Below are 27,792 nucleotides of genomic sequence, written 5' to 3' on the forward strand. Positions count from 1 at the left end.
TACATTTGTTGTCATTTCATTAGGTCTGCAGATCATAGACCTTGACTCCTAGGAGTTGAGCATTATGACTCACTTGTGAGAACTCAGAAAAAATAGACAGGATGAAGGAGCCAAGGACATAACAACCTTCATTCAAAAAGACCCAATGTTGAGGGTCAGTGGGATGGGGTTGTATGAAAAATGGGTTAGAGCTGCTTTCTCACAGCAGCAAAGACATAGCAATTCAGAATAGTCTAGGTTAGAGTCCTTTGGGGAAACCACTGTCTAAACATTAAGGACACCAGGATTAATGACCAAGTCCAGTGGTCCAGACACAGAAGAAGGCCTCAGTCATTGAGCTCAGAGTTGCAAGCAGTGAAGATGGGAGATGGGTTGGGTGCAAGAGCAGGAGGGGAAACATAAGATGGCTCTTTCTAAGTGTGTTTGTTTCTAATAGCAGTAATGCTTTTGAATGAGTCAGAGGCAGAGGAGAACATAATTGAAGACCTGAGAAATAAGGCAAATTGTAGGTTGGGGGCCTGAACAACAGAGTCTGGCTGCAGAAGTGCGGCTGGATCCTGGAAATGCAGCACACTCCCTTTGATGGCAGGCAGGGATGCTTGATGCACTAGAACATGGTAGCTAAAAAAGTGGCCTCAAGACTTAGACTCTCTGCCTCCAAATCCCAGTTGTAACACTTACAAGTAGCTTCAACACAGGCCAACCATGGTGCTTCTTTGTGCTTCAGTTTTCTCTCAGTGAAAACTAAAGAAAAAACTGTTTTTATCATATTGCTATAATGACTAAATGAGTTCATATATATCCAGCAATTAAAAGAATACTTGGCATATATAATATTTAATAAATATTAGTGATTATGATCTATCTTATCTTTGTCAGTAATAAAACTGTCTCACTCTAAGCTGGTCAAACACGAATCCCAGAAAATTACTCAGTTAACTTTTTAAGGCTTGAATAATGGTGTATTTCTTCTAATCAGACATTCCTGAAAATTAAGAGTTGCTGTTTCTTGCATTCTTCTACTTACTTTTAATTTCATTTCTCTATGTGCTTTAATAACTCTGCAAGGTGGTAGGTGGTAACTTTGTGAATTATCATGAGTCTTAAAATATCCATATTTCACTCTCATTATTGAGTTAGAGTATAGATATACAATTCTGGGTTCCAAGTGCTTTTCAGCACTTTGAGGGTATGATTTTATTGTCTTTTTGGTACCCAAAATTGTTGATAGGAAAGTTGATGTTAAGATAATTCTTGCCCCTTATAATTTTCATTTTTTTGTTTTTGATTTTTTTGATATTTCATTACATTAAGGATATTTTTTAAATCATATTTTAAAAAGCTTATCCTGTTCAGCAGAAGAATTTTCTATCTGGAAACTTATATCTCATTTCAGTTCTGGGAAACCTCAGCCCTCACTATGGGCTCAATATATCTTCCCAAAATTAATATGTTGAAACTTTAATCCCAAGTGTGATGGTACTTGGAGGTGGTTCCTTTGGAAGATAATTAGGGTTAGATGAGGTCATGAGGGCAGAATCCATGATGGAATTACTGCCCTCATAAGGAGCTCTAGGCACCAGATCTTTTTCTATCTGTCATGTGAGGATATAACAAGAAAGCAGTCATCTGTGAATCAGGAAGAGGCCCTCACTAGAACCTAACCATGTGGAAACACCCCTCTCAGATTACCAGTCTCCAGAACCATGAGAAATACATGTTTGTAGTTTATGCCACACAATCTATGGTATTCTGTCATAGCAACCTGAACCGACTAAGACAGCAATTATCTACTCAATTGCTTGGCGCCAGTTGATCTACTCTCTTCTTCTGGATTCCTACTAAGATAATATTGATGCATCTGATGCTCCTCTCTCTGTTTCCAAATTTTTTGAGTACCTAATAAATTCACATGGCCCAAACATCAAATATCATAAAAAAGACTAGAGTGAAAAGTCTTCCTTCCACTCCTGTTCCCTATTCATTTAGCTCCTATTTCTCTGTCTTTACTAGTAATATATGTGCATATTGCAGTATACACACAGGGTCATAAATAAAAACAACAAACAAACAAAATTGTTCTAATAATACTGTATTATTAACTTTGTACATGATTACCCCTTTCTCTTTCCTAGTCCCCCAACAGGCAACAAAATAATGTACAGCTATGATTTTACTATTGTAGGCAGTATACCTATACGTAGGGTGATATAGTTTGGATATTTGTCCCTGACCAAATCTCATGTTGAACTGTAATCCCCAATACTGGAAGTAGGGCTTGGTGGGAGGTGTTTGGATCCTAGAGGCTGATCCCTTATGGCTTGGTGCTGCCTTCATGATAGTGAGTTCTCATGAGATCTGGTCACTTAAAGGTGTGTGGCAACTCCCCCAACCCTCTCTCTCTCTTGTTCCTGCTTCTATCATATGGTATGCCTGCCCCCCCCTTTGCCTTCTGCCATGATTATAAGCTTCCTGAGGCCTCCCCAGAAGCTGAGCAGATGCCATCACTATGCTTCCTATACAGCCTGCAGAACTGTGAGCCAGTTAAACCTCTTTTCTTTACAAATTACCCAGTCTTGGGCATTTCCTTACAGCAATGCAAGAATGGCCTAATACATAGGGGGTTTAATCAAGAAGTGAGGAAGAAATCTGGAGAAGGTTTTGAGGGAAAAAATGAATAAAACTTAATCTTTGACTTTAGGGAAGATGAAACCATTTGTTGCATAAATCCGCAAAATCTACATTGATGCCTTTACTATAACATAAGCAACACAAGCAAGTTTTCATGCTGGGTGGTGTTGCAGCCCAAGTCACTGTGGTGGACTGCTGTCAGTCAAGGCGAGCAGTCCTTCTATCTGGAGGCTCCATATGATGCTTTTTCTAATAGCAGTCCTGGAGGCATCCTTGGATAATCATATCTGCTCAGTGCAAAGTTGGGCAGGCATCATGGAACTTTCTAGCACACATCTCATTCCCTAGTGAAATCCAGAGTACCACTTTGCTCTGGGTTCCATATCAACATTCAAATATTAAAGTCTGAGCCATCTTGCCAGAAAATAAGTATGCCTCTGTGAAGAGAAAAACAGGAACTACGTGAGAAAAATATATAAAATAGTTTATAAATAGAGAGGCTCCTTCTTTGTCTTAATCCCTCCTGGAGATGTCTTCCTGTTCCAATCCCTCTCCCCATGACCCTCCCCGCCTTCCTCCATACACATGCAAATGAAACAAATGGCCTGTTATTTTTCTTTTGTAATAAATAAGGAGTGAAAAAGCATTCCTTGGGAAAAATAAAAGAGAACCAGAAAATGATGAACTAACATCCGACCCAATAATGGTGTCTAAAATTTTGATCCAAAACCCTTGTCCCTGCTAGTGGGGAAAACAGACATCCCAGTCATTCAAGTGATGCTCTGGGTTCTACACCAATGCTCTAAATGAGAACAGAAAATCTTCCGGGGTGCCTTTCACATAGTATCTGAGAGCCATTTTTAACAGGCTTACAATAAAGGCCAGGCATGATGGGTTGTGCCTGAAATCCCAGCACTTTGAGAGGCCAGAGGTGGGAGGATCACTTGAGCCCAGGAGCTAGAAGCTGCTGGGAAATATTATTGCACCACTGCCCTTCAGTCTGGGTGACAGAGTGAGACCCTATTTCTAGAAAAAACAAAACAGACACAACACAAATTAATAATTCAGTAATATTTTCAGTTTCATTGATCATTATTATTCCACTAATTTGAAGCTTTCTATTTGTGTTTTATAAAAAAAATACTACCTGGGAAAACCATGCCAAATATTCTCTGTTGGCAGACTAGAGAAAGGATTAAGCAAAAAAAGGATGAGTTACAATTTGTCAGAATCCAGGTCTCTCATGTGTACAGAGATGGAAAATGTGAGTAACTAAACAACTCAGGCAAACCCTTAACTGTCTCTTTCTGTCTTTTTATTGAGACTTCTGACAAAAATAAGCCTGAAAGAAAGAGTATACATGCTTGTGAAACTGAATCAAAGGGTGGAGCTAAGAACAGGGAGGTGCTAAAATTTTTTTTTTTTTTTTAATTTCTTCAGTTGAAAGTTTCTCAACTCTTCAGCCACAATCTCTTACTACAGGAGCAAATTGCCAATTCTGCTCCAGTGGGAGAAAACAAGGTATTGTAAATATTTCTTTGGTTAATGATTTTATTTATGTTTTTCTTCTTGGTTGAAGTGCCCAGCTAGGTAACAAATAATGAAGACCCCTTCCCCCAAAAAAGTCCAGAAATAATAGATAAGGCCCAATCCCTTAAGAATTTGTCTGTATAAGTCAGAGAGTAACCTGAGCTGGTTTGAAGTTTGTACTAGAAAAAGGGATATGGGAGAAAGAACATTCATTCCCAAAAAAAGTTAGAGAAATTGTTTTTCTAGGAATTGTGGAGTGGAATTTGCTCCTTGTTTTACTGGGAATTGTGAAATCATCAGTGGAGTTTCCTCCAGTCACATTTATGTATCTGTCAACATAGGCAGAGATAAATAAAATATTCTCTCAGGACGGTTGAGCCAAAACCCTTCAACTCTTTAGGAAATGTGAGCTTGGCACCCTGAATTTGGATCCTATTCATTAATATATGGAATTCATGGTTTGACTCTTTAACTGTTACCCCCACAAACCCAAAACCCCACTCTCCTCTCCTGGCCACCATTTCATGGGCCATTAGCTTTCTTCTCTTCTGTGGAATAATAAATGTTCCTAATCCCCCACATCATACTAGGTGCTCTTCATAAACCACCCCAAACTATTACCTGTTTCTAAAAAAGGCCTTAGGTGAATAGAGAGGTGCTGGGGATTGGGGAAGCTGTCATTCTCTGATATGCACAACTCCATGAGGAGGTAATATTATCAGTATCATCAGAAAGGCAAGAGGCCCTTGGGAGTGTCTCATGGAAAACGGGACAAGAATCCTCCCCACTCTCCAGATCTTCTTTCTCCTCCTGATGGTTCTCCATCATGTAATCTCTCTCTTTAGCCACTAAAATCTTAAACACAATGAGATACAATGGCAAGAGCAACTGTATTCACAGTCAAGATAACACAGTTGCAGTTTTGACTCTGCTGTGCATCCTTTGCTCAATCAACCTCTCTCAGCTTCAGTTTCTTAGCAGACAAAATGGGGGAGCTGGGTTAGGGAGATTCTAAGGGTCTTTCCAACACTGATGTGCTAGGGGCATGCGATGATGAAATGTCTATGATGAGACATTTTGATGAATGACACTATCCTTTTCTTGCTTTCTTAATTCTCTTTGGCTTCTCCTCTGAGCCTGTCTACAGGTTAAGCTCATAGATGATCAGTTTATAGCTCTTGAAAACTGCAAAAGAGCAATTAATTTTGAAAATAACCTGGTAGACTTCTGACCTACACATTTGCAGTCTTCTCTGAAAATATAATTGTCCAACATTTGTATGGAATAATTATTTCCTGTAAAATTTCACCTCACAATTCTACACCCTTCAGAAAGTATTTTTCATTGTTGGGTTAAATATCACTAATGGATGGCTTAGTACTTCATTAGATTTCTTTAAAAAAAGAAAATAAAGAATTGTTTCTCTTGTATGTTCTGGGTAACATCTGATATACAAATAATGATATTAATAAGGGAATTAATGAAGATGAGTACAACTAAATATTAAGCTTACATGAGAAATTAGCTTTTATAATAGAGAATTATTGTTTTCAGGAACATGTTACAAGTAAATAAACACTGGAATAACCATACACTGAGGTAGAAAAACCCCAGCCTCTGAAATGGTACTTTCTCCCCATTTCATGAAGAGTGTGGTTTGGCCAAAAACCAAACATTTTCCGTGTAAATTTAATTCATGAGTTTTAAAAATACAAAGCTTGATATATACTGTATGCAGGTAACAAAATGTTATTTGAATGAGTAAGAGCCTTAAAGGAAATACAGAGTTATTTTGAAGATGGCATTTGATCTGTTGAGGAAGAAAGTCACAGGCAAATATTCAATATTTTATGAGAGTGTAGAATTACTACAGATCTACAGTCTTTTTTGTTTTCTATTTAATCAAATAATGTCAGCCTGGGATTATCATAAGCTTTTGGAGTAGACAGGAGCCACACCTAGGGCATGATTTAGAGGTGGGGAAGCTGTTTGGTTAAGTGTAAGTTTATGGCTAGGGGGGATTCCCACAGTATCACTATTAACTCCAAGTTATGATGAAACCAAAACTTTGTCTACACATGCCTCTCTCATGATTAAGTTATTTGAGTATAGAGAATTCCTGACGTTTTCCAAAGCTCTCATTCTAGGTTTCTCAGAAGGCCAGGTGACGTTCATGCAAGACCTAACTCTACACAACTTTGGCATTAATGAGATTTCCTAGGTATAAGAATTTGAATTATTTTATTTTTTAAATAATTTCAGTTTTTACTTTTGACTCAGAGGGTACATATGCAGGTTTGTTAGAAGGGTATAATGTGTGATGCTGAGGTTGAGGTTTGATTGAGTCCATCACCTAGGTAGTGAGCATAGTACCCAATAGTTAGTTTTTCAATCTTTTCTCCATTCTCTGCCTCCCCATTCTAGTAGTCCCCAGTGTCTATTTTTGCCATCTTTAAGTCTATGAGTACCCAATGCTTATGTCCCACTTATAAATGAGAACATGTGGTATTTTGTTCCTGTCATAATTTGCTTAGGATAACAGCCTCTAGTGCATCCATGTTGCAGCAAGAGACATGATTTAATTCCTTCTTTCGGTTGCATAGTATTCCATGGTGTGTATGTACCAGGTATTCCTTATCCAATCCAACACTGATAGGCACCTAGGTTGATTTCATGTCTTTGCTATTGTGAATAGTGCTGTGATGAACACTTGTGTGTGTGTGTGTGTGTGTCTCTTTGGTAGAATGATTTATTTTCTTTTGAATGTATACCCAGTAATGGGATTGCTGGGTTGAAGGGTAGTTCTAACTTCCTTGGGAAATCTCCAATCTGCTTTCCATAGTAGCTGATCTAATTTACATTTCCATCAACAGTGTACCCTTTTCTCCACAGCGTCATCAGCATCTCTTGTTTTTTGACTTCTTAATAATAGCCATTCTGACATATACAAGGTAGTATTCATTATGGTTTGGACTTGCATTTCTCTAATGATTAATGATGTTGAGCATTTTTTCATGTTTGTTGCCCACTTGTATGTCTTCTTTTGAGAAGTGTCTGTTCATGTCCTTTGGCATTTTTTAATGGGGTTGTTTTTTGCTTGTTGAATTAAGTTCCTTGTACATAATGGATATTAAACTTTTGTCAGTGGAATAGTTTGCAAATATTTTCTTCCATTCTGTAGTTGTCTGTTTACTCTGTTGATAGTTTCTTTTGCTGTGCAGAAGCTCTTCAGTTTAATTAGGTCTCACTTTGTTTTTTGTTGCAATTGCTTTTGAAGACTTAGTCATGAATACTTCCCCCAACACTGATATCCAGAATGGCGTTTCCTGGATTTTTTTTTTTCTAGGATTCTGATAGTCTGAGATCTTACATTCAAGTCTTTAGTCTATCTTTAGTTAATTTTTGTACATGTTGAAAAGTAGGGTCTACTTTCATTTTTCTGGATATGGTTAACCAGCTATCCCAGCATCATTTATTGAATAGAGTCCTTTCCCAATTGCTTGTTTTTGTTTACTTTGGTAAAGGTTAGATGTCTGTAGGTGTGCAGCTTTATTTCTAAGTTCTCTATTCTGTTCCATTGGCCTATGTGTCTGTTTTTGTGCCAGCACCAGGCTGTTTTGGTTACTGCAGGCTTATAGTGTAGTTTGAAGTTGGGTAAAGTGATGCTTCCAGGTTTGTTCTTTTTGCTTAGGGTTGCTTTGGATATTGGGGCTCTTTTCTTGTTCCATATGAAATTTAGAATAGTTTTTCCAATTCTGTGAAAAATGACGTTGGTAGTTTGATGGAAATAGCATTCCATCCGAGGTTTGCCTTCGGCAGTATGGCCATTTTAACAATACTGATGTTTCCTGTCCATGAGCATGGAATGTTTTTCCATTTGTTTGTATTATTTATGATTTTTAGCAGTGTTTTTTTTTACCTCACTTTGTAGAGATCTTTCAATTTCTTCATCAGGTGTATTCCTGGGTATTTTATTTTATTTTATTTTTTGGCTATCATAAATGGAATTGTAGTCTTGAGTTGGCTCCCTGTTTGAATGTTATTGGTATATAGAAATGGTACTGATTTTTGTACGTCGATTTTGTGTTCTGAAGCTTTACTGAAGCCATTTTTCGGTTCCAGGAGGCTTTTGGTGGAGTCTTTAGGGTTTTGTAAGTATAGAATTATATAGTCAATGAAGAGAGATAGTTTGACTTCTTCTTTTCCTATTTGGGTGCCTTTTATGTCTTTCTCTTGTCTCATTGCTCTGGCCAGGACTTCTAGTACTATGTTGAATAGGAGTGGTAAAGAGTAGGCATTCTTGTCTTGTTCCAGTTCTCAAGGGGAATGCTTCCAGCTTTTGCCTATTCAGTATGATATTGGCTGTGGGTTTGTTACAGATAGCTCTTATTATTTTGAGGTATATTCCTTCAACACCTAGTCTGTTGAGGGTTTTTATCATGAATGGATATTGGATTTTATTGAAAGCTTTCTCCACCTCTATTGAGATGATCAGATGTTTTTTGTTTTTAATTGTGTGGTAAATCACATTTACTGACTTCTGTATGTTGAACCAATATAGTACTCCAGGAACAAAGCCTACTTGATGGTGGTAAATTAACTTTTTGATATGCTGCTGGATTCAGCTTGCTAGGATTTTATTGAGCATTTTTGCATCTATGCTCATCAGAGATATTTGCCTATAGGTTTCTTCTTCTATTGTGTTTTTTCCAGGTTTTGGTATCAGGATGATGCTGGCTTTGTAGAATGAGTTAGAGAGGAGTCCCTCCTCTTTAATTTTTTGAAATTATTTCATCAGCATTGATGCCAGCTTGTCTTTGTACATCTGGTAGAATTCAGCTGTGAATCTACTTGTTCCAGGGCGTTTTTTGGTTGGTAGGATTTTATAATTGATTCAATTTTGAAACATGATATTGATCTGTTCATGGTCTCAATATTTTCCTAATTTAATCTTGAGAGGTTGTGTGTTTTCAGGAATTTATTCATTTTCTCTAGATTATCTAGTTTGTGTGCATAGAGGTAGTCATAGTAGTCTCTGAGGATCATTTGTATTTCTCCAGGATCAGTTGTAATGTCACTTTTGTTATTTCTGATTGTGCTTATTTATATCTCCTCTTTTTTTCTTTGTTAATCTAGCCTGCAGTCTATCAATCATGTTTATACTTTCAAAAAACCAACTTTTGGTTTTGTTGATTCTTTGTATGGATTTTTGGGTCTCGATTTCATTCAGTTTTGCTGATTTTACTTATGTTTTTTTCTTTTGGAAGTTTTAGCATTAGTTTGTTCTTGTTTCTCTAGTTCGTCTAGGTCTGATGTTCGATAGTTAATATGAAATATTTCTAACTTTTTAAGGTAGGCATTTAGTGCTATAAACTTTCCTCCTAACACTGCTTTTCGCTGCATCTTAGAGACTTTGGTATGTTATGTCTCTGTGTCTATTTCAAAGACGTTGATTTCTGCGGTAATTTCATTGTTTACCAAAAAGTCATTCAGTAGCACGTTGTTTAATTTCCAAGTAATTCTGTGGTTTTGAGAAATCTTCTTGGCATTGATTTCTATTTTTATTGCACTGTGGTCTGAGAGTATAGTTGGTACAATTTCAGTTTTTAAAAATTTGTTGAGACTTGCTTTATGGCTGAGCATGTAATCAATCTTGGAGTATATTCCGCGTGCAGATGAGAAGAATGTATATTTTGTGGTTGATGGCTGGAGTATTCTGTAGATGTTTATTAATAAGTTCAATTGGTCAAGTTTTTCTTTGTTAGTTTTCTCCCTCAATGATCTGTCTAATGCTGTCAATGGGGTGTTAAAGTCCCCCACTATTGTTGTGTGTCTGTCTAAGTCTTTTTGTAGGTTGAAGAGTACTTGTCTTATGAATCTGAGTGCTCCAATGTTGGGTGCATATACGTTTAGTATAGTTAAGTCAGTTAAGTCTTCTTGTTGAATTGAACCTTTTGCCATTATATAATACCCTTCTTTGTCACTTTTTACTTTTGTTGGCTTAAAGCCTGTTGTATCTGATATAAGAATAGCACCCACTGCTCTATTTTGTTTTCAATTTGTGTGATAGCCCTTCCTCCAACCACTTAGTTTAAGCCTATGGGTGTTATTACATGTGAAATGGGTCTCTTAAAGACAGCACATTAATGGGTCTTGTTTTTTAATCCAACTTGCCACTCTGTGCTTTTTAAATATGGTGTTTAGCCCATTTACATTCAAGGTTAATATTGATATGTGAGGTGTTGATCCTATTGCGAAGTTATTAGCTGGTTGCTTTGTGGTTTCTATTGTGTGGTTGCTTTATAAAGTGTGTGTGCTACGTACTTAAGTAACAGGTATCATTCTTTTGTTTCCATTTTTAAAACTTCCTTAAGGATTTCTTGTAAGGCTGGTCTAGCAGTAACAGATTCCCTTAGCACTTGGTTAAATCGTTTAACTTATTCGAGAAATTATTTTGCCATAAAATCAAAATAGATGGAATTAACTATAGAAACCTAGTTTTAAAAGGCTTTTAAATTAAAATATTATGGTATTGCTTGGGTATGGTATATTGGCTTTGGTTTAGGGTGGACTTGGTAGCATAATATCCATGCAGTTTCCTCAGTTGTAGTCTTCATCAATAATGTCTGCAGTTGCCTCAGTGGTCCAAGCTGTGAGTGTTTGTGATGGAGTGGTGGTGGTGCACATTTGCTGTGGATTGGGGCACCTGTCATTTTCAGGCCAGGTACATGCAGGTGTGGTAGGCTGGCCAGCTGTTTGGTTGCTTCCATTAGAGATGACATTTAGATGTTGAGTATAATATCAAAAAAGATGAGGAAAACTGAGTACTCTTGTTCCAGAAGACTAGTTTCAGAGGGTCTCAAATGAGTGAGAATAAAGACAAACAGTCTTAACTTCTCAATTTCTCTACAAGCATTTTCCAATTAGTTGTGCATGATTCCATGTTTGCATAAATTAAAAATGGTAGTTACAGCCCAAACCGTGAATATCGTAAATGAGTAATAAATATTTACAAGCACCCATTTTGTGCAAAATCCTTAGCTAGGTGCTGTTGGGTGCACGAAGCAGCATAAAAAGAATATTTTGCTCTCAATAAGCTTATGCTGGAGTTGGAAAAACTAGATACAAACACATGGAAACAAAACTGGTGGTGTGAAAAATGTCAAGAGAGTGGCAAAAACTATGTTATGGGACTCAGCTTTTAACTGACCAGCATCCATTTATTCTCTAATGCACATTAGCACTAAAATTTGAGGCAATTCCCGTAAATTCTCTAAACTTCAGTGTTTTAATATATAAAATACTATTATTGGACTAGAATTTTGCTAAAGTCTATTCAGCTCATATGACAATGTATATGGATATGTATGCAACTATGAATACATATTTTTTCAAAGGTGAAGTGGAAATAAATATTAATATGCTCTCTAATTTTTGCTTTATTTTTCTTAGGTTTCCTCAATGGACTCTCTAGCAACATCAATCAACCAGTTTGCCCTGGAGTTGAGCAAAAAGCTAGCTGAATCTGCTCAGGGTAAAAATATCTTCTTTTCTTCCTGGAGCATCTCAACTTCCTTGACCATAGTGTATTTGGGCGCCAAAGGTACCACTGCAGCCCAAATGGCCCAGGTGAGTGGAAAAGGTCAACTATCTTCTGTTTCTTGTAAGCTAAGTGCTTTCATTGCCTTTTAACTTCAGTTTTCTCTTGACAACTCAATAATTTACATTTCACAATAACATTCTCTAAAACAAGACATACATTAAAACATTCTATACCATAAAACAAATCTTGGTAAAGAGAATCAATTTGCAAACTGTTGCTAGGAAAACCATTTGAGAACCTGTGTCCTTTAGCAAAATAAAATGGAGAAAGGATAAGGTTATCAATTTTTGTTCAACACCAAAACCAATTTTATTTTGATGATATTATTTCAAAAAGTAATTGGTCAAACTTTAAATAATAGAATTATTCAGCATCTTTATAATCACATAAGGATTTTCTTGAAGACACAAAAAAGAAAAATAAAAGAATTCTGTTTCTCATGCTTTGTTTGATTCTCTCTTTGTTTAGTCCCTGGTTATCTGAATGAATCTAAGGAGCCCATTAAGATCATTACAATAACAATATAATACTATTATATACAGAACTATTTTTGCAATAAGCATCCTCAAAACATTGTGCGTATGTAAATATATATATGTAGTCATAGATAGCAAAATAGCCATATGTGTGTGTAAAAATATATATGAATACATATATATATGCAACAATATGTATATATAAATGTGATTTTAAATAAAAAAAAAAAAAAACAGAAGGAGTAAACTCGGCCCTAAATCTTGCAAAACCAAAAGGCCAAATGACAGAATTTTCACCCAAGAAGGTGACTTCCTCAGAAAGTATGGATATGAACACGGTTGGTAATTCTGAGGGAAGTGGGCAGAACACATGCTATATTAGTCTGGACTTGGGATAACATCCTTACTCTTGTAGTTCACAAGATATCAGGTGGTTTAAAAACAACAACAGCAACAACAAAATCCTTGTTCACAACTTGTTAATGACAGGTTCATTAGCTCAAAAGTCTTAATCATTAATGTGATAGACAATCTTAAGTGGATTCCAATGTGAATCTATTTCATATAAATATATTGCTGGGTGTTGCTTGTCCTTGTTTCGGATGTTAACACTTTTAGTTGCAAATGGGCCTCATGAATTAACTGTGCACCCCTTTATGTATGGCAGGTGGCCCTTGTTCTGTTAACATGGGTCAATGCAACCGTTGAAGCAGTATACCGTATTTCTTATTGTCAGCCGGGTCCAGGACTTGGCAGATAAAAGTATTGCCTTCTGTTCTATTGTTGTACAATTCCAAGGAAAGAAGAGTATCTACATCTTTCCTGTTAACTTTCCAGTGAAATGCTGGGGTAAACACAAACATTGCGCCTAAATATGTCAAGTGGTGGTAGACAATAGGAACTGAGCATTTAACTAGAAAAAAAACAACTAAAATTCCTTAATTTTCCACATAATTATGGCTTTTACCTAAACTGTCTAAATGATGGTCTCAGTTGGACACCTAGCATTCTTCTTAAAACAACCATGAGTAAAAAGGAAATACGGAAAATAAGAGAATTTTACCTCAAGGTTTTCCTAACATCATTCTAGTTACAAAACATAGGAAAATAAAGAGACTAGCAACTTAAATTCGACTTTAGAAAATTTATTTAAGAGCAGTTCTTGACTTATTTTATTACACACATTAAGTCAAGTCAGAGCCCCTTTGTTTAACTAATTATATGTTCTGCAATTATAGGAATGACTGACTTGTATTTACAGATGATGTATGATTTATATAATTACTTCTCTGCAGTCTATTCATTTGTATTTTTATTGAAATTACAGGTGCTTCAATTTAACAGAGACCAGGGAGTCAAATGTGACCCTGAAAGTGAAAAAAAAAGGAAAATGGTATATCTTATCCTTTAATATATATTTCATAATTAAGGAAAAAGTACTTTTAGCACATGTATTTTAGTGATAACTGAAGCAACTTTTAGCAGGTAATTTTTCTTAGAAACATATATTAAAGTTACAGAAACTTTTTTTGGAATACAAAATATCTACACCTTTTGAAAGATCTCTTGTCCCCACGCCCTTTTAATCTCTCTAAAAATTTCTCTAGTTTCAAACTTTTCCTTGCCTGCTTTTGCAAACTAAATGTGAAGAAAATTATGGCCTCAATAACATTTCATTCTTTTGCACTAACACTAAAGAAAACATTTTTATCCACTTTAGGAACATTTTCAACTTTTGTTTGCAATTCCCCAAATAATTTTATTTAGCTTTAGTTTGCTAACATGTACGTAACTCTTGTTCAACATTTTATTTGACTAGTTCCTTCTCTTTTAAAGGAATTCAACTTGAGCAACTCGGAAGAAATACACTCTGATTTCCAAACACTTATCTCAGAAATCCTCAAGCCCAACGATGACTACTTACTTAAAACAGCCAATGCGATATATGGAGAGAAAACGTATGCATTTCACAATGTAAGTGCAAATGTCTTATTTTAAGCTAATGGAAAAGAAAGAGCAATGTGAGACCAATCAGTAAACTCTGTATATTTCTTTAGGGATCCAGGGACAATCTTCATGTGGTCAGTACTTCCCTGCAAACAATCAATTAGACCAACCAATGAGTGTCTAGTGGTAAAGGAAACCAATAACAGGTCTCAAATCAGATCTAGGAATCAGATATTTCTGTCTAGAATAAAGAGGTAGCCCCTGAGAATGGCCTACAAATACATATGGAGACTTGGCTGGAGACTGTCTACTTGAGAGCAAAACTGACCTTGGGATGAGAGAAGTGAGGAGTTTTCACATCAAGACTTTACAGACTTTGGGAACATGAAACATGAAATAATATCAACCTCTCCTCTTTACTAAGGGTTGAAACCCCACCAATGCAGACCATGATGACTCTGTCCTCTGTTAAGAGGGTCACATGACAACCCAGGTCAATAATTTCCTTCATTGTCCAACATCTCTTTGGGCAGGAGGACCCGTGTGTCCAGTGGGCAAAGAGCAAGGAAATTAGATAGGGTAGAAGAATAGCAATAAGATAAAATAAAGCTACCTTGTGATTTCAAGCAATGCTATCTCTGTTCAAATCTAGTGAATTCTGGGGAGTTCAGGAATTGAGCTTTGTTATTACTAAAGACATAAAATCATCCAAATGGAATCTTAAAGACAGTTTCCTTTCTTGTAGGCTCATGGACTCTCGTTTGATGCAGAAGTAGGAGACATGATTGACTCAGTGGGCACTTAGAAACAAGAGGGACACAGAGATAGAGACAAACATATTTTTATATGTCCACAAGCCCTGAATTAAGACAGGCAGTGGTCCCTCAAAAATATTTAAGTTTTCCTTTTATTAGATTTTAAATTCCACAGAATTTAGACTTCATAATCTTCAAGCCACTTCCTGGCAACAGAATTAACTCATCACTTTTTCTCCTACAAGCCCTGCATAAAGTAAGCAAATTGAAGGAATACTACAATGTCTTGAAGAATAAATTGTGTTCCCAAGGCAGATGCCTCCATAACAGCAAACTCAGTCATAGCCTACATGTGATGACTGCCACTGGGTGAACATCAGAGGACCAGGAGGAGGTGAAGGCCTCATTTTTTTTTTTTTTGCCTCAGAATGCCTAATATAACATTCAACTCTGCTTAGAAATCCATTTTCATGGCAGGATATCATTTTCTTCAAGGGTCCTCCACAAGATTCTTGTTGTTTAGAATCCACAGAAGGAAGCTACCAGTATCACAAGCCTCACTTTGGTTTCATACCTACCATAAAAAGTCAAGTACAATGCCCAGTACCTCTTGGCCACTGGGGTCACTCTTGTTATTTGTAGTCCCTTTCCATTCTAGCCTCATTTCAAGGCATGGATAAAAATAGAAAGGAAGAGGATGTGGAAGCCCCAAAAATGTGGGCATCCGTACTTCCTTCCACAGCTGGAGCTCTGCATAGCTAGCCAGTGCCCTGCTAAGTTTGAAGAGTGAGGTGTTTAGTTTTTGACCAAAACTGGGAGTCAGGAAAGAGAGGATGGAGTGATGGTGTGGGAGTGTGCAATTGCCCGCCTACCTAGTTCTTTTGATAATCTAAATAGATTTGATTTCTCAATTTTGAACAAACTCTACAAAAGGGGATTTTTATCTATGTCTTTCAGAAATATTTAGAAGACATGAAAACATATTTTGGTGCAGAACCTCAGCCTGTTAACTTTGTGGAAGCTTCTGATCAAATCAGAAAGGACATCAACTCTTGGGTTGAAAGACAGACCGAGGGTAAGCTTTCACCAAGGGGTTTGGCAGCGTGCTTTTCCCAAACATCCTTGTATTTATTTTAGTTTGTGTCATATGTAAGTATGTATACTCCTTAAATAGAAGTGTGGACACATTGTAAATATTCAGAACATTTATTTCTATTCATGTACGTAATTTTTAGATTCACTGCCTTCCTAATAAGTCTTATCTAAAACAAGTAAGTCAGGCCATCACTTTACCAAATAGACAAGAAAATTATCATCTCCCACTAATTCCAAAGAAGAGCCCAAGGGTAAAAAGCAGAAAAATGCAAAAAGGAAATTGAAAATACTGCCACATGCATGGTTTTTAAGGAAAAATATCTACTAATAACAGAAATGTGGCATTAAATGTGCTATAGAATCTTAAATACTTTTCAAAGTAAGTTCAAGTATCAGTTAGAGTATGGATTAAACTACTCTAAAGAAGAGACCCAAAATATAGTGGCTTAATAAGACACAAGTATGTCTTTCTCTCAAATAATAGTTCAAAGGTAGTTAGGCATCCTGGCTTAGAGAGAGCATTTTGCCTCCCAAGGCCATCCAGAGATCCAGGCTGGTGTTCAGCACTGCCATCCTCAATACATGGCTTCCATCTCTAGGTGCAAGATGGTTCTTACAATAGCCAGTTGTAGTAGCAGCAGGAAGTGGGGAAAAGAAATTTCAGCAAAAGCTAATTTGTCTTTAAGGGGATGCCCTGGAAGTTTCACATGTTAATTCCACTCATCTCCCACTGGTCTAAACTTAGTCCATAGCACACTTTCTGCTAGGGTGACCAGTGCATTCTGGTTTGCCTGTGACTTTCCTAGTTTTAGGATCAAAAAGCCCCTAATTCCAGGCAAGAGTGACCAACCACATTCCAGTCAATTCCAGTCACCATACTTGCTAGAAGAAAGACCTGCAAAATGGAGTTTTCAGCTGGGTTGCCATTTGTCACCTAAATTTCAGGGTTTTATTTCTAAAAGGAAGTAGTAGAAGGATTCTCCCAGGCAATTTAACAGTCTTTTATTGTTATCCTTATTTTAGAAATAAGGAAGCTGAGATTTTAGAGAAATTATCTATGATTACACAGTTTAAAGCTTCAGCAATAGGATTTCGAATATAAGTCAGCTTAGTTCCAAAGTCTGAACTGATTTCTACACACCATGCTGCCTTTTAAATCAACATTTCAATTGATATTATATTATATCTTATGAAGAAATACAAAGGCATCATCATTAATGAAGATTAATTAATCATTCATGACTTAATGAAGATTAATTCATCATTTGTCATTAATGAATATTAATGATGATGCCTTTGCTTTGTGTCTAAGCACATGGAATGTTTTGCTGTCTTCTCCTCTGAACTTCAGGGCTCATAACAAACACCTGCTAGACATATTTGCCAAGGGTCCCATGCATTTCAAATTCACCATACCTGAAATCACATTCAGAATGGTTTTCCCAGACCTTGTCTTCCTCATGTATTCTCCATCTTGGTGAATGGGTACACCAATCACACACTTGCCCAGAACAGTAATCTGAGACATACTCTAAATTCTACCCTTTCCTTTGCTTCCTCTTAAATGTTTCTCAGAGTTCACTTTTCCTTTCAATTCCTTTCCTCCACAGCCTTTCTTTCTTCGCTATCTTTTATCTGCACAAATGCAATAATTTGCCTCTAATCTTGTTCCCTTCAAATCTAACCTCCATTTACCACCCAAATTACCTGCCTAGAATACAAATTAGACCAGATAGGCCATGTCACTTCTCTACTCAAAACTGATTCATGCTGCCCCATGACCTATGGGATCAACACAAAGCCCTTAACCAGACATATAAGGGCCAATATGACTGTGGAGCCTTGCTTGTCTCTCCACTTAAACTCTTGTCACTCCCTGGATTAAAATTTATATTTCAGGGATTCTACATGTCATAGAATGTCCCGAACTCCCTGTGCTACTTAATGGCCCTGTACTCATGCCATTTCTTCTATCTGAAATACCGTTCCCTGCCCTGCCACCCCCAACCCCTCCTTTGCCCCCAAATAACTTCTCAGGGCTTCATTCAGGCTAAACATCCTCCTCTTTGCTCCCAGACATTTATGCAAACCTTTACTTTGACACTTACCACACTGTTATCAAAACTAACTGCTTATACATCTATGTCCCCTGCTAGACTCAAGGACTCTATGTGCGATAACTCTGCCTTCAGCTTTAAATCACACATAACAGGCCTGCTCATAGCAGTTGTTCAGAACATTAATGTTTATTGGAATGAATTGATAACATTGGCAGCCCTAAGTGCTCAGTTCCTTTTACATTGAGCCCATGACTCAAAAGCCGTGGTGAAGCAAGAGTGACTATGATATTTAACTTCCATCCTGATTTGCATTCATCTGAAAATAAGTTTGTTTTGTTTAGAATTATAGATTAGCTAGCAGTTACTAGGTACTTGCACTTTTGTAGCTTGTGTGAGACCACATTTGATTGTACAGGCAAAAGTATGTTATGACCTAAACACAAATTCAACATAGCAGGAGTAGGAGTAAGAATGGTGCTGGAGTTGGGCAAAATGTTATGTTTTAGATTCCTAGCCTGGTGACTGTTATGTTGTTTGGAAATCAGGTAGGGATCCTACAGATTGGAAGGCTGGGGCAACTAATCTGCTAGCTTTGCATCCTAGCAAAGCCTTTTAGAGCCAAGAAGACAGCTGTTGTCTGGTGCCACATAAGCATGGCTCTTAGGGGTTGGTCCTTGCCTTGCTTCCCCAGCTTAGACTGATGCACTGAAGGTACATAACAAAATCCAGGTGTCTGAATTACAGAGCTGTCCAGAAGATCTTCCTATGATGATGGAGACGTGCCATAAATCTGCACTGTCCAGTGGAGTAGCTTCTATTCCCATGTGAACACAGGTGATTTGAAATGTGGCTAATGTGACTGAGGAACTGAATTTTCAACTTATTTCATTTCAATTAATTTAAATTTAAGTAGCCACATGAATCTAGTGGCCACCATATTAGACAGCATAAGTCTAGAAGTTTCATTTCTGAAGAAGAACTGAGCAAATAATCTTTTACTTTATGGAAGAAAGGGCAGACTGCAGATTATAGTACTATATGGCCACAGTATGGGACATCCACACTTTAAAAAATTCTCTGTTATCATACCACTGGTCAAATGAGAGGCACCAAAAAATAAGCTCATGGTGGACACAGTTCGAATCTTTTACTGAGCCTTGTTTGCCACATCCCATTATTTCATTCCTCCAGCTGACCCTCCTCACTCTATTCCTCAGAAGCAGAATTGTCTAGAGAGGGAGAAAGCTGTAATCCTTCTGTATTTTCTATTTTGGACACAAATATCTGCTATTTGGAAGCATTCAACATGAAATAAAATAAGGAATTAATTAGTTCTTTAGGAACTTAGACTTTGTCGAGGCAGAGTTCCATATGTCCTTAAGGGAAAGTTGCTAGGGTGTTTGGCATGACTAGGTTCTACCTGAACCATCTCAAAGATACTTCTTTCCTTGAGCTTTCAACAGGTCTTCTCCAAGGTCTTCATTTTTCCTTTAGATAGTAGCATCCAGCATCATTAATAAAAACAACAAACCTGCACCCTGAACCTTCCCCAGAAGATTTTAGAATACTTTTCTTTCTTTTTTGGTGTTCTGAGGTTTCAACATTATGTTCTAGGCAGGGGTCTTTTTATTTTTATTTATTTACTTTATAACTTTGCTGGCAATTATTTTAAATCTAAATATAAAGGCCTTTAGGTAAACAAAATTGTGTATATTATTTATTTCATGATTTTCTTCTTTTCATTCTGTCCCTTCTTGCCTTCAGTACTTCCAATAAACAAATTTGAAATTTCACAATCTATCCTATCTGCTTTGATTTTCCATTTATATTTACTTTTCATTGCTTTGCCCTTCTGTTATCCTTTTCCAGCTCATGATTTTGCTCCAGCCGTGTTCATTCAACTATTCAATCTATTCAAGAGTTTTATTTCCACAGTTATTTATGTTCTGCTTTGACAATTATTTCTTTTCTCTTCAAGACTTATGGTTATTGGTTATTTCTTTTTCATTAGTGAGATCAGTCAGCTTTATCTGAATATGTAAATTTTGCTTATTGTTAAGTCTTTTTGCTGTATTAATTCTGCTTCCTGTTAGTGCATGTTGATGTTGGTGCTTCTCTCTCATAGGGTGGATTTTCTTACCTGTTTAATCCTTTTGGTTTTCTGTGTGTCTTTTTGTTTGGCAACCCCAGTTTACCAGTCTTAGTTTATAATACAGATCACAATAACTTGTCTATGGTCACTGTTGGGCTGACATTGATGTGCTGTGTTTATAACTTGCCTTCTGGGCATGGGAAGCTTCCAGTTTTTCTTGGGAATTCCTAGTACCTTGGGAACACTGTTCTAACTCCACTGTGACATACGGTGTCCTCACTCATTACTCTAGACAGTAAGCTAATGTATTTGTAGCCCATTGCTGGTACCCAGGGAGGTATAGAAAGTCAATAAACACAATTTCTGTAAACCAGTGACTCTCAATCGTGGCAACATATTAAGTTGAATTTACTGATTACTAAGCCTAACTCCAGATGAACTAATTCAGATATCTTGGAGTGAGGTTCAAGCATCAGTATTTTTAAGTCTTTAGGAGATTCTAATTTGCAGTCAAAGTTAGGAGCCACTGCAATAAATGGAATTATTTCATTAATCTCATTGATGTTCCCTGCCCCCAACAAGCTCCATGAATGCATGGCCTTTGAGTTTCTAACTCCCTGAGCAACACCCCAACCTCCCAAGAAGTCATCTGTGATGCCTTTTGTGTGTGTATGCTGTGGTTTCCTCTATCAGTCTAATCCATCTGTATTTTCTCTTTCGGGATTCTTCAAATTTTCCAGTCCTTTAATGGCATCTTGGCTTGTAGCACTGTTTCAGATACATTCTTTTAAACAAACATATGGTCTAAAACATTAAGTAACCTTGTAAAACAGCATTTTTGACTATAAATTCAAAGGTTAAAAAAAGTAAGTATACTTCGACTATATATTTTAAGGCTGAAAAAAAGTACACAAATATTGTACCCTAGTTTTTAAATTTGTTTTTAATAGAAGAATGGATTTGCAATCCTGAAACTACTTTATGTTTGTTCTAGGATTAAGCAAATAAGGAAATATATTGGAAATCATGAGAGCCAGGAAAGAAATTACAAATAAGGCAAAGACAAAGGCTACAATGAACCCTGTGTTATTAGATTGGAAGTGAAAGTATCAATATGACCTTCTAGTCTTCAATATATATGCAGAAAGATAATTCAATAGATAAATGTAGAAATAGATACAGATGTGTGTATAATGCATACATTTCCTAGCCCCATTTGCTGAGAGGATCTGGAAGCAATGACATCCCAATAGTAATCAGCATATCTGACACCAAGATCTTGATTTCTAAACTCCTTCTTTCAAAAAAAGAAAGCAGAGCTCCTGGACAAAATGGTGGTAACAGAGCTGGGACAAGCGAAGTACAAGATAAGGACTTTTTGTGGTGACAGAATGTAAGGAAATGCTCAAAATACTTGGGAATATGTCAGAAGGACACAGGAGCCAACAGGGGAGGCTTCCAATGGCAAAATCTGGAGCAATTTGTGCAACAAAATAAATAATGATAGTAATGGATTATAACCCATAGAATAAAGCAAATACCCATGAGTCTATACTGATATAAACAAATAATTGAAGATCCAAATAAATGAAGAAGGGAAGGCTCTTTCTCACAGTAGAATTCTAGTTAATGAATACAGAAGAATGATGGAAATAGAAAACCACCATCTGCAATAGTAACCACAGTAGTAATTGTTTTAGATAGGAATTATAAATGGATACTAAAATTAGTGGACAAAAGCCTGATGGGAAACAGTATATTACACGCTCTCAAAGTATCTTCCCACATGATACCAAAAAATAAAAAAACCAGCCAGTCCTTTTACATTGGAAAAATCAGTGTTCAAATTAATAGCACCAGTAATAGGACATATGGGCATCATGCACTTCCTTACATGATTCATTGAGAAGAACACAGCATGACTTTGGTGGTTGTATTAGTTTCCTAGGGCTGTCATAACACATTAAGGTAAACAGAGTGGTTAAAAACAACAAAAATGTATTCTCTCACAGTTTTGGGGGCTAGGTGTCAAAATCAGGCTGTCAGCAAGGCTGTGCTCTCTCTGAAGGCTCTAGAGAAGAAACTTGCATGAGCTTCTCATAGCTTCTGGTGGTTGTTGACAATCCTTGGCACTCATTTGCTGGTTGATACATCACTCCAATCTTTGCCTGCATTGGTACATGGCTTCCTCTTGTTATCTGTATCTCTCTTTTGTCTCTGCATCTTCTCATGGCACTCTCCTCTCTGTGTGCCTATGTCCAAATTCCCCCCTCCTTACAGAGAGACTAGTCATTGGATTGGGTCTCATCTTAATCCAATATGACATCATCTTAACTTTATTTCATCTGCAGAGACTGTATTTCTAAATAAGGTCACATTCACAGGTACTACGGGTTAGAAGTGGGACACGTGTTTTTGGGGGACACAATTCAACCCACCACGGTGATACTCTCACAAAAATGCATAACTTGAATATTATCTTGATTAAACATCAGACAAACCTAAACTGGGAATTCAGGAGAATTCTACAAAACAAATGGGAAGTCTTTCTTAAAGGTGTCAAGGTCATGAAAGACAATGAATGAGTGAGAAACTGTTCCAGATTAAAGGTGAATAAGAAGAAATTACAACTAAATGCAATGCAAGGTCTTGTATTGATTTCTAACCCAGAAAAAAAGGACTTTATTAAAACAACTGATGAAATTTAAATATGACCTGTCAATAATATTCTATTAATGTTAACTTCCTGGTTTGGATCAGTGGTGTATATAAGATGTTATCATTTAACGATATTTTATAAGCATAATTATTATAAATGTGGTGTATCACTAGGATGTAATTATATCATTTTCTAATTGTTTATTGTTAGAAGATAAGAAGATAATTTTTAGCGTAATAGTGTAACAGCACCTAAAAGAACTTCTTATTAGTTTTCATTGTTTTTTAGTTGATTCTCCTTGCTTTCCTTATTATTTGCAAATAATAATTTTGTCTCTTCCTTTTATATAATATCTCATCTAATTTTTTTTGCTTTACTTAGTATTTTGAGAAAAATGTTAAATAACGGTAGTCATAGCAGGCCATAAATACCACTAATGTTTCTGGGTTAGCATTATTATGGGTTTGTTGAAGAAAAATATTATTTTTAATATTATAGAAGTATTCTTCATTTTAATTTACAAAGTCATCATTTTAAAATTAGAAATGAAGGTTGAAGATCAAAAGTATTTTTGCAGATGATGTTATGATTTTTTTCTCCTATCAGTCATCAAAGCAATTGTCTCAGTCCATTACAGCTGCTATAACAAAACATCTTAGACTGGGTAATTTATAAATAATAGAAACTTATTGCTCACAGTTCTGGAAGCTGGGAAGTCCGCAATCAAGGTGCCAGGAGATTCAGCGTGTGGCTAGGGCTTGCTCTATAATTCCAAAGTGACACCTTCTCATTGTCATCGCATAGTGGAGGGGGCAAACAGGCTCCCTCAATCCCTTTATAAGGACACTAATCCTATTCATGAGGGCAGAGCCCTCCTGATCTAATCCTTTCCCAAAGGCCCCACCTGTTAATTCTATCACACTGAACATTAGGTTCCAACATATGAATTTTGGAGGAACACAAATATTCAGGCCATATCAGCAACACGCTACATTAATAGATTTCCTAATATATGTTTCTTGCATTCCTAATGTATATTAATTAGATTTATTTACTAAAATGTAATTTAGGGTTTATTTGTTTATATTCACAAGAGAAATGGGTTTACGGATGGGAATTTTGTGCTTTCTTGTCATTTTTATACTAGGTATATGCCAGCTTGATAAAAGTAATCAGAGAATTTTCTATTTTGTGCTTTGAAACTGTGTGAATAGTGTAGAGATTTATCATTTACTTGAAGGTTGAAAAGAATTTACCTGTCTACATGTCTGGGGTTGATGCTGTTTCCACGGGAGGTAATCACTTGAGAGTTGTACAATTTCAATCATGTTTAATTTTTTTTTTCAGATTTTCTACTATTTCTTGAGATTCTATTAATATTTTCCTGGAAAATTATTTTTTAAATTAAGTGCCACAAGCTGTCTCTTATAATTTTAACAGCTTTCCCATGTCTGTATTTTGGCAGTTTAAAAGATCAGCCCTTTATTCTGAGTAGTGTCTGTTGCAGAGTGAAGCTGGGTTGGCCAAGAGGTTCTTCTCAATCCAGTTTTATCTACCTCAGTTATCAAACATGTGCCTCTAGAGCAAACCTATAATACCTGATTCGAGAGATATATATTTGACGTATTTTTATAAATCGTTCAAGGTGCTTTATTAGAGAGTTTGGAGAGAATGTATTCGGGGTTGATAGCCAAATATCAGTTTAAGTTGTAACTATAACAATCTGATAGAAGCAATTGCACACAGCAATATTTTGGGCAACAGGAAAACATTGGCACAGCCTTTCAGATGTTAATCAGAGCAGCTCACGGTTTGTGGCTACAAACAGAAGTGAAAAAGAAGGAAGTATTTCAGTCCCCTCGAAATAGGGGTACATTGAATCTGTAAATGACCTTGGGCAGTATGGCCGTTTTCACGATATTGATTCTTCCTACCCATGAACATGGAATGTTCTTCCATTTGTTTGTATCCTCTTTTATTTCCTTGAGCAGTGGTTTGTAGTTCTCCTTGAAGAGGTCCTTGACATCCCTTGTAAGTTGGATTCCTAGGTATTTTATTCTCTTTGAAGCAATTGTGAATGGGAGTTCACTCATGATTTGGCTCTCTGTCTGTTGTTGGTGTATAAGAATGCTTGTGATTTTTGTACATTGATTTTGTATCCTGAGACTTTGCTGAAGTTGCTTATCAGCTTAAGGAGATTTCAATTTCGGTGGCCTATGTGAACTTTCCATGTTCACATGTAAATCAATTTGGTGAGAAACCCAGCTAAACCTGCTTTTGTGACAATACTTGGCTCTTTTTAGTATGATTATGGATGAACATATGAACCATAGTATCTCTTGGATACCAAATACCAGAGAGTCCTACAGAAAGTCTTTCCAACAGCTACAAATACGAAATGCCAAAACTCAAACCCTATCTAATTACAGCTTTCCACCTTCTCTTAATCTCCATATATGTATATATTTTTTCCATCATTTTAGCCAGTAAATTTTGAAGGAAAATAAAGGTTCATATGAATTAATTTTCAAGAGTATTTATTTTATTTTTTTGTTAGAAATTTAAAATTTTTGGCAGGAGTTTAAATGCCACCATTTCCCCCTCTGAATTTCAAAAAGGAAAGAAAAATCCCTTCTTCCTCCAGGGCAGTTAAGTCCTGTTATTGAGCAATTTTACAGATCTTGATTTATACTCTAAGAGTAGAGGAGGGGAAATGATGAATAGAGTATATTAACAATGACATAAAGGTACAGAGAAAAAGAAGGACATTTTAGCACAAGTGTCTTGCCCAGAGGTAGTGCTAAGAGAAATGTTCTTTAGATTTCTACCACAAACTTGGAAACCTTGAAGTAGAGAAGTAACTTCCTTTTTTACCACTATGTTTCACAAGTTGTCCAACCTAAATCAGTAGGTGCAAAGAGTTGTTAGTCAAGTAGTTGTAATTTTCTGGAAATAAAAAATCTTTAGCTAAAGTGCAAAAAAAAAAAAAAAAAAAAAGAAAAAAAAAAAGAAATAGGGTTACAAATCAACTTATATTACAGGGAAGTTTTTATAATTAAAATGCAAATTTGTACTTTATGTGGAATAATGCTTACTGACAGTCCAGCATATTATTTCTTCAGGGTTTCTCTATTTATTCACAGCAGCTATTCTGGACAGGAATAGTACTTGTCCATTTCCAGAAAATCAAAAACCAGGACTTTTAAAGAAAACTTTTATAGTTCCAGAAAAAATAGAAGCCTGGTTGTCTTTAGTTAAAATATACATATTTCTACAAGTCATTTGCAACCTGCCTTTTGTTCTTACAGGTAAAATCCAGAATCTCCTGCCTGATGACTCTGTGGATTCCACAACCAGGATGATTCTGGTGAACGCCCTATACTTTAAAGGAATCTGGGAACATCAATTCTTAGTGCAAAACACCACAGAAAAGCCTTTTAGAATAAACGAGGTAGGAAATTTTTAAAGATCAGTTTGGATTTTCACATGGCATTGTACAAGTGATTCTCTTATAAATTCACTCTTCTTTTAGATTGTATGTTCTAGTGAACTATGGCTCTTACCAGGGAAGTGATGGCTGGGCTAAAAGCCTTCAGTTCCATGGGGAATTCATTGAAATTCCCCTGTCCTTGTTTTTCTCTGAATATACAATCACTCAGTCCTTGCCACCCATGTGAGCTGGGTAGGGTAGTTTTCATATTTATTTCCTAGGTGAGAAATATAGTGTGGCCAAGTGACTGGAGGCATGCCTGAGTTAGAAGCAGTCCAGAACAAGAACCTAAGAGTCCTCACTGCAAGTTCTGTACCTGCCCTGCTAAACCAGTACTAACTTCTACCAAATTCTTACCCTTACATAAGTAAAAGCAATAAAAACGGAGACTAAAGTAAGGTTATAGATTTGACTCTCGTGAATGGGCTGGAGTGTGGCTGGGCCTTGGGACCTGATTGGAAACAAGGACTTAAATGTTGTCAGGATTTTTTCCTCTATTTTTTCAACTCTGTTTCTACCATCATTCTTCTCTCAGGTTGTGGTCTAACTTTCTCTGCTTCCCAGTTCACAATGACAGAACATAGCTACTCACAGGACCTTCGCCATTCTAGAGACCAGTTGGAAAATCCCATTCCAAATTCCTAGGAAAGGAACTAGTTGACCAAGGTTTGTTACAGTTGTTTAGTCTAGGGATAGGCCACAAACAGTGCTGCTGTGGAACTATGGCTGTAATGAATGTGTGCAATAGGTATTTCTCAATCAGTGGGGTGAGGATGGGGAAGAAACTGAACACATAATCGAGTAGGTTAACGAGAAGTGAGCTGGATAGTTACCTGGGTTTATATATTCACTGGAAATTTTCAGTTGCAAGTGATAGAAAAGTATTCCAAACTAGCTCTGGCAAAATGGGAATTGTATTGGAATTAGCTGAGGTGACAAAAAACTGGGAAGTCCAGGAGTGAGTGATTGGGGTATTTAGAGTCTCAACACATAATCCCAGTTCATTCTCATGCTGTCTCTTTCTCTTTTTCTCTCTAGTTGCTACTCTCATTCTCTAATAATGATCAGGGAATATGGTTGCCTCATATTCAGTCTTCAAGCTTCACAACTCTAGTAGACAGAGAAAGTGTTTGCCATTAGTTCTAGGAGGGCTCTGGTTGGGGCCATTCATGGGCTCTCTCTGGAAACAACCACAGTATGCTAGAGTACTCGCAGTAAACAGCCCTTGTCGTATGGCCACCACCTTAGCATACGGTGGGGCTTTGTGATGGACAGTTCGACATAGAATGGAAAAGTAACATATGTCTACAACATCTAAGTTGCAGGGGTGTTTGTTTTGCTTTCATTTGGCAATTGGTCTTATTTTAAAATAAGCTTGATTTTTAGAGCATTTTTAGGTTTACAGAAAAAATTGTGCACGAAGTATAGGGCTCTCATATGTCCCCCCTTCAACA

The 27,792-nt window shown here is 36.7% G+C and overlaps 1 protein-coding gene across 4 annotated transcripts in view; it reads left to right on the forward strand.

Annotated features, from left to right (window-relative positions):
• Positions 1 to 4,069: 4,069 nt before the first annotated feature.
• The window catches only part of SERPINB10 (serpin family B member 10), a 28,154-nt gene continuing 4,431 nt past the window's right edge, over positions 4,070 to 27,792 (forward strand). The window contains exons 1-7 of one of the 4 annotated variants that reach the window (XM_011526027.2): positions 4,070 to 4,152; positions 6,309 to 6,382; positions 11,614 to 11,790; positions 13,568 to 13,633; positions 14,077 to 14,214; positions 15,900 to 16,017; positions 26,157 to 26,299. In XM_011526027.2, the coding sequence (XP_011524329.1) occupies positions 11,623 to 11,790; positions 13,568 to 13,633; positions 14,077 to 14,214; positions 15,900 to 16,017; positions 26,157 to 26,299 (633 nt within the window). In that variant the 5' untranslated portion in view covers positions 4,070 to 4,152; positions 6,309 to 6,382; positions 11,614 to 11,622. Of the gene's footprint in view, positions 4,153 to 6,308; positions 6,383 to 11,613; positions 11,791 to 13,567; positions 13,634 to 14,076; positions 14,215 to 15,187; positions 15,337 to 15,899; positions 16,018 to 26,156; positions 26,300 to 27,792 lie in introns of those variants that run through there. The other 3 variants (NM_005024.3, XM_017025793.2, XM_011526028.1) reach the window with 3 other exon arrangements.

Source organism: Homo sapiens, chromosome 18 (assembly GCF_000001405.40).
Source record: "Homo sapiens chromosome 18, GRCh38.p14 Primary Assembly".
NCBI lineage: Eukaryota > Metazoa > Chordata > Mammalia > Primates > Hominidae > Homo > Homo sapiens.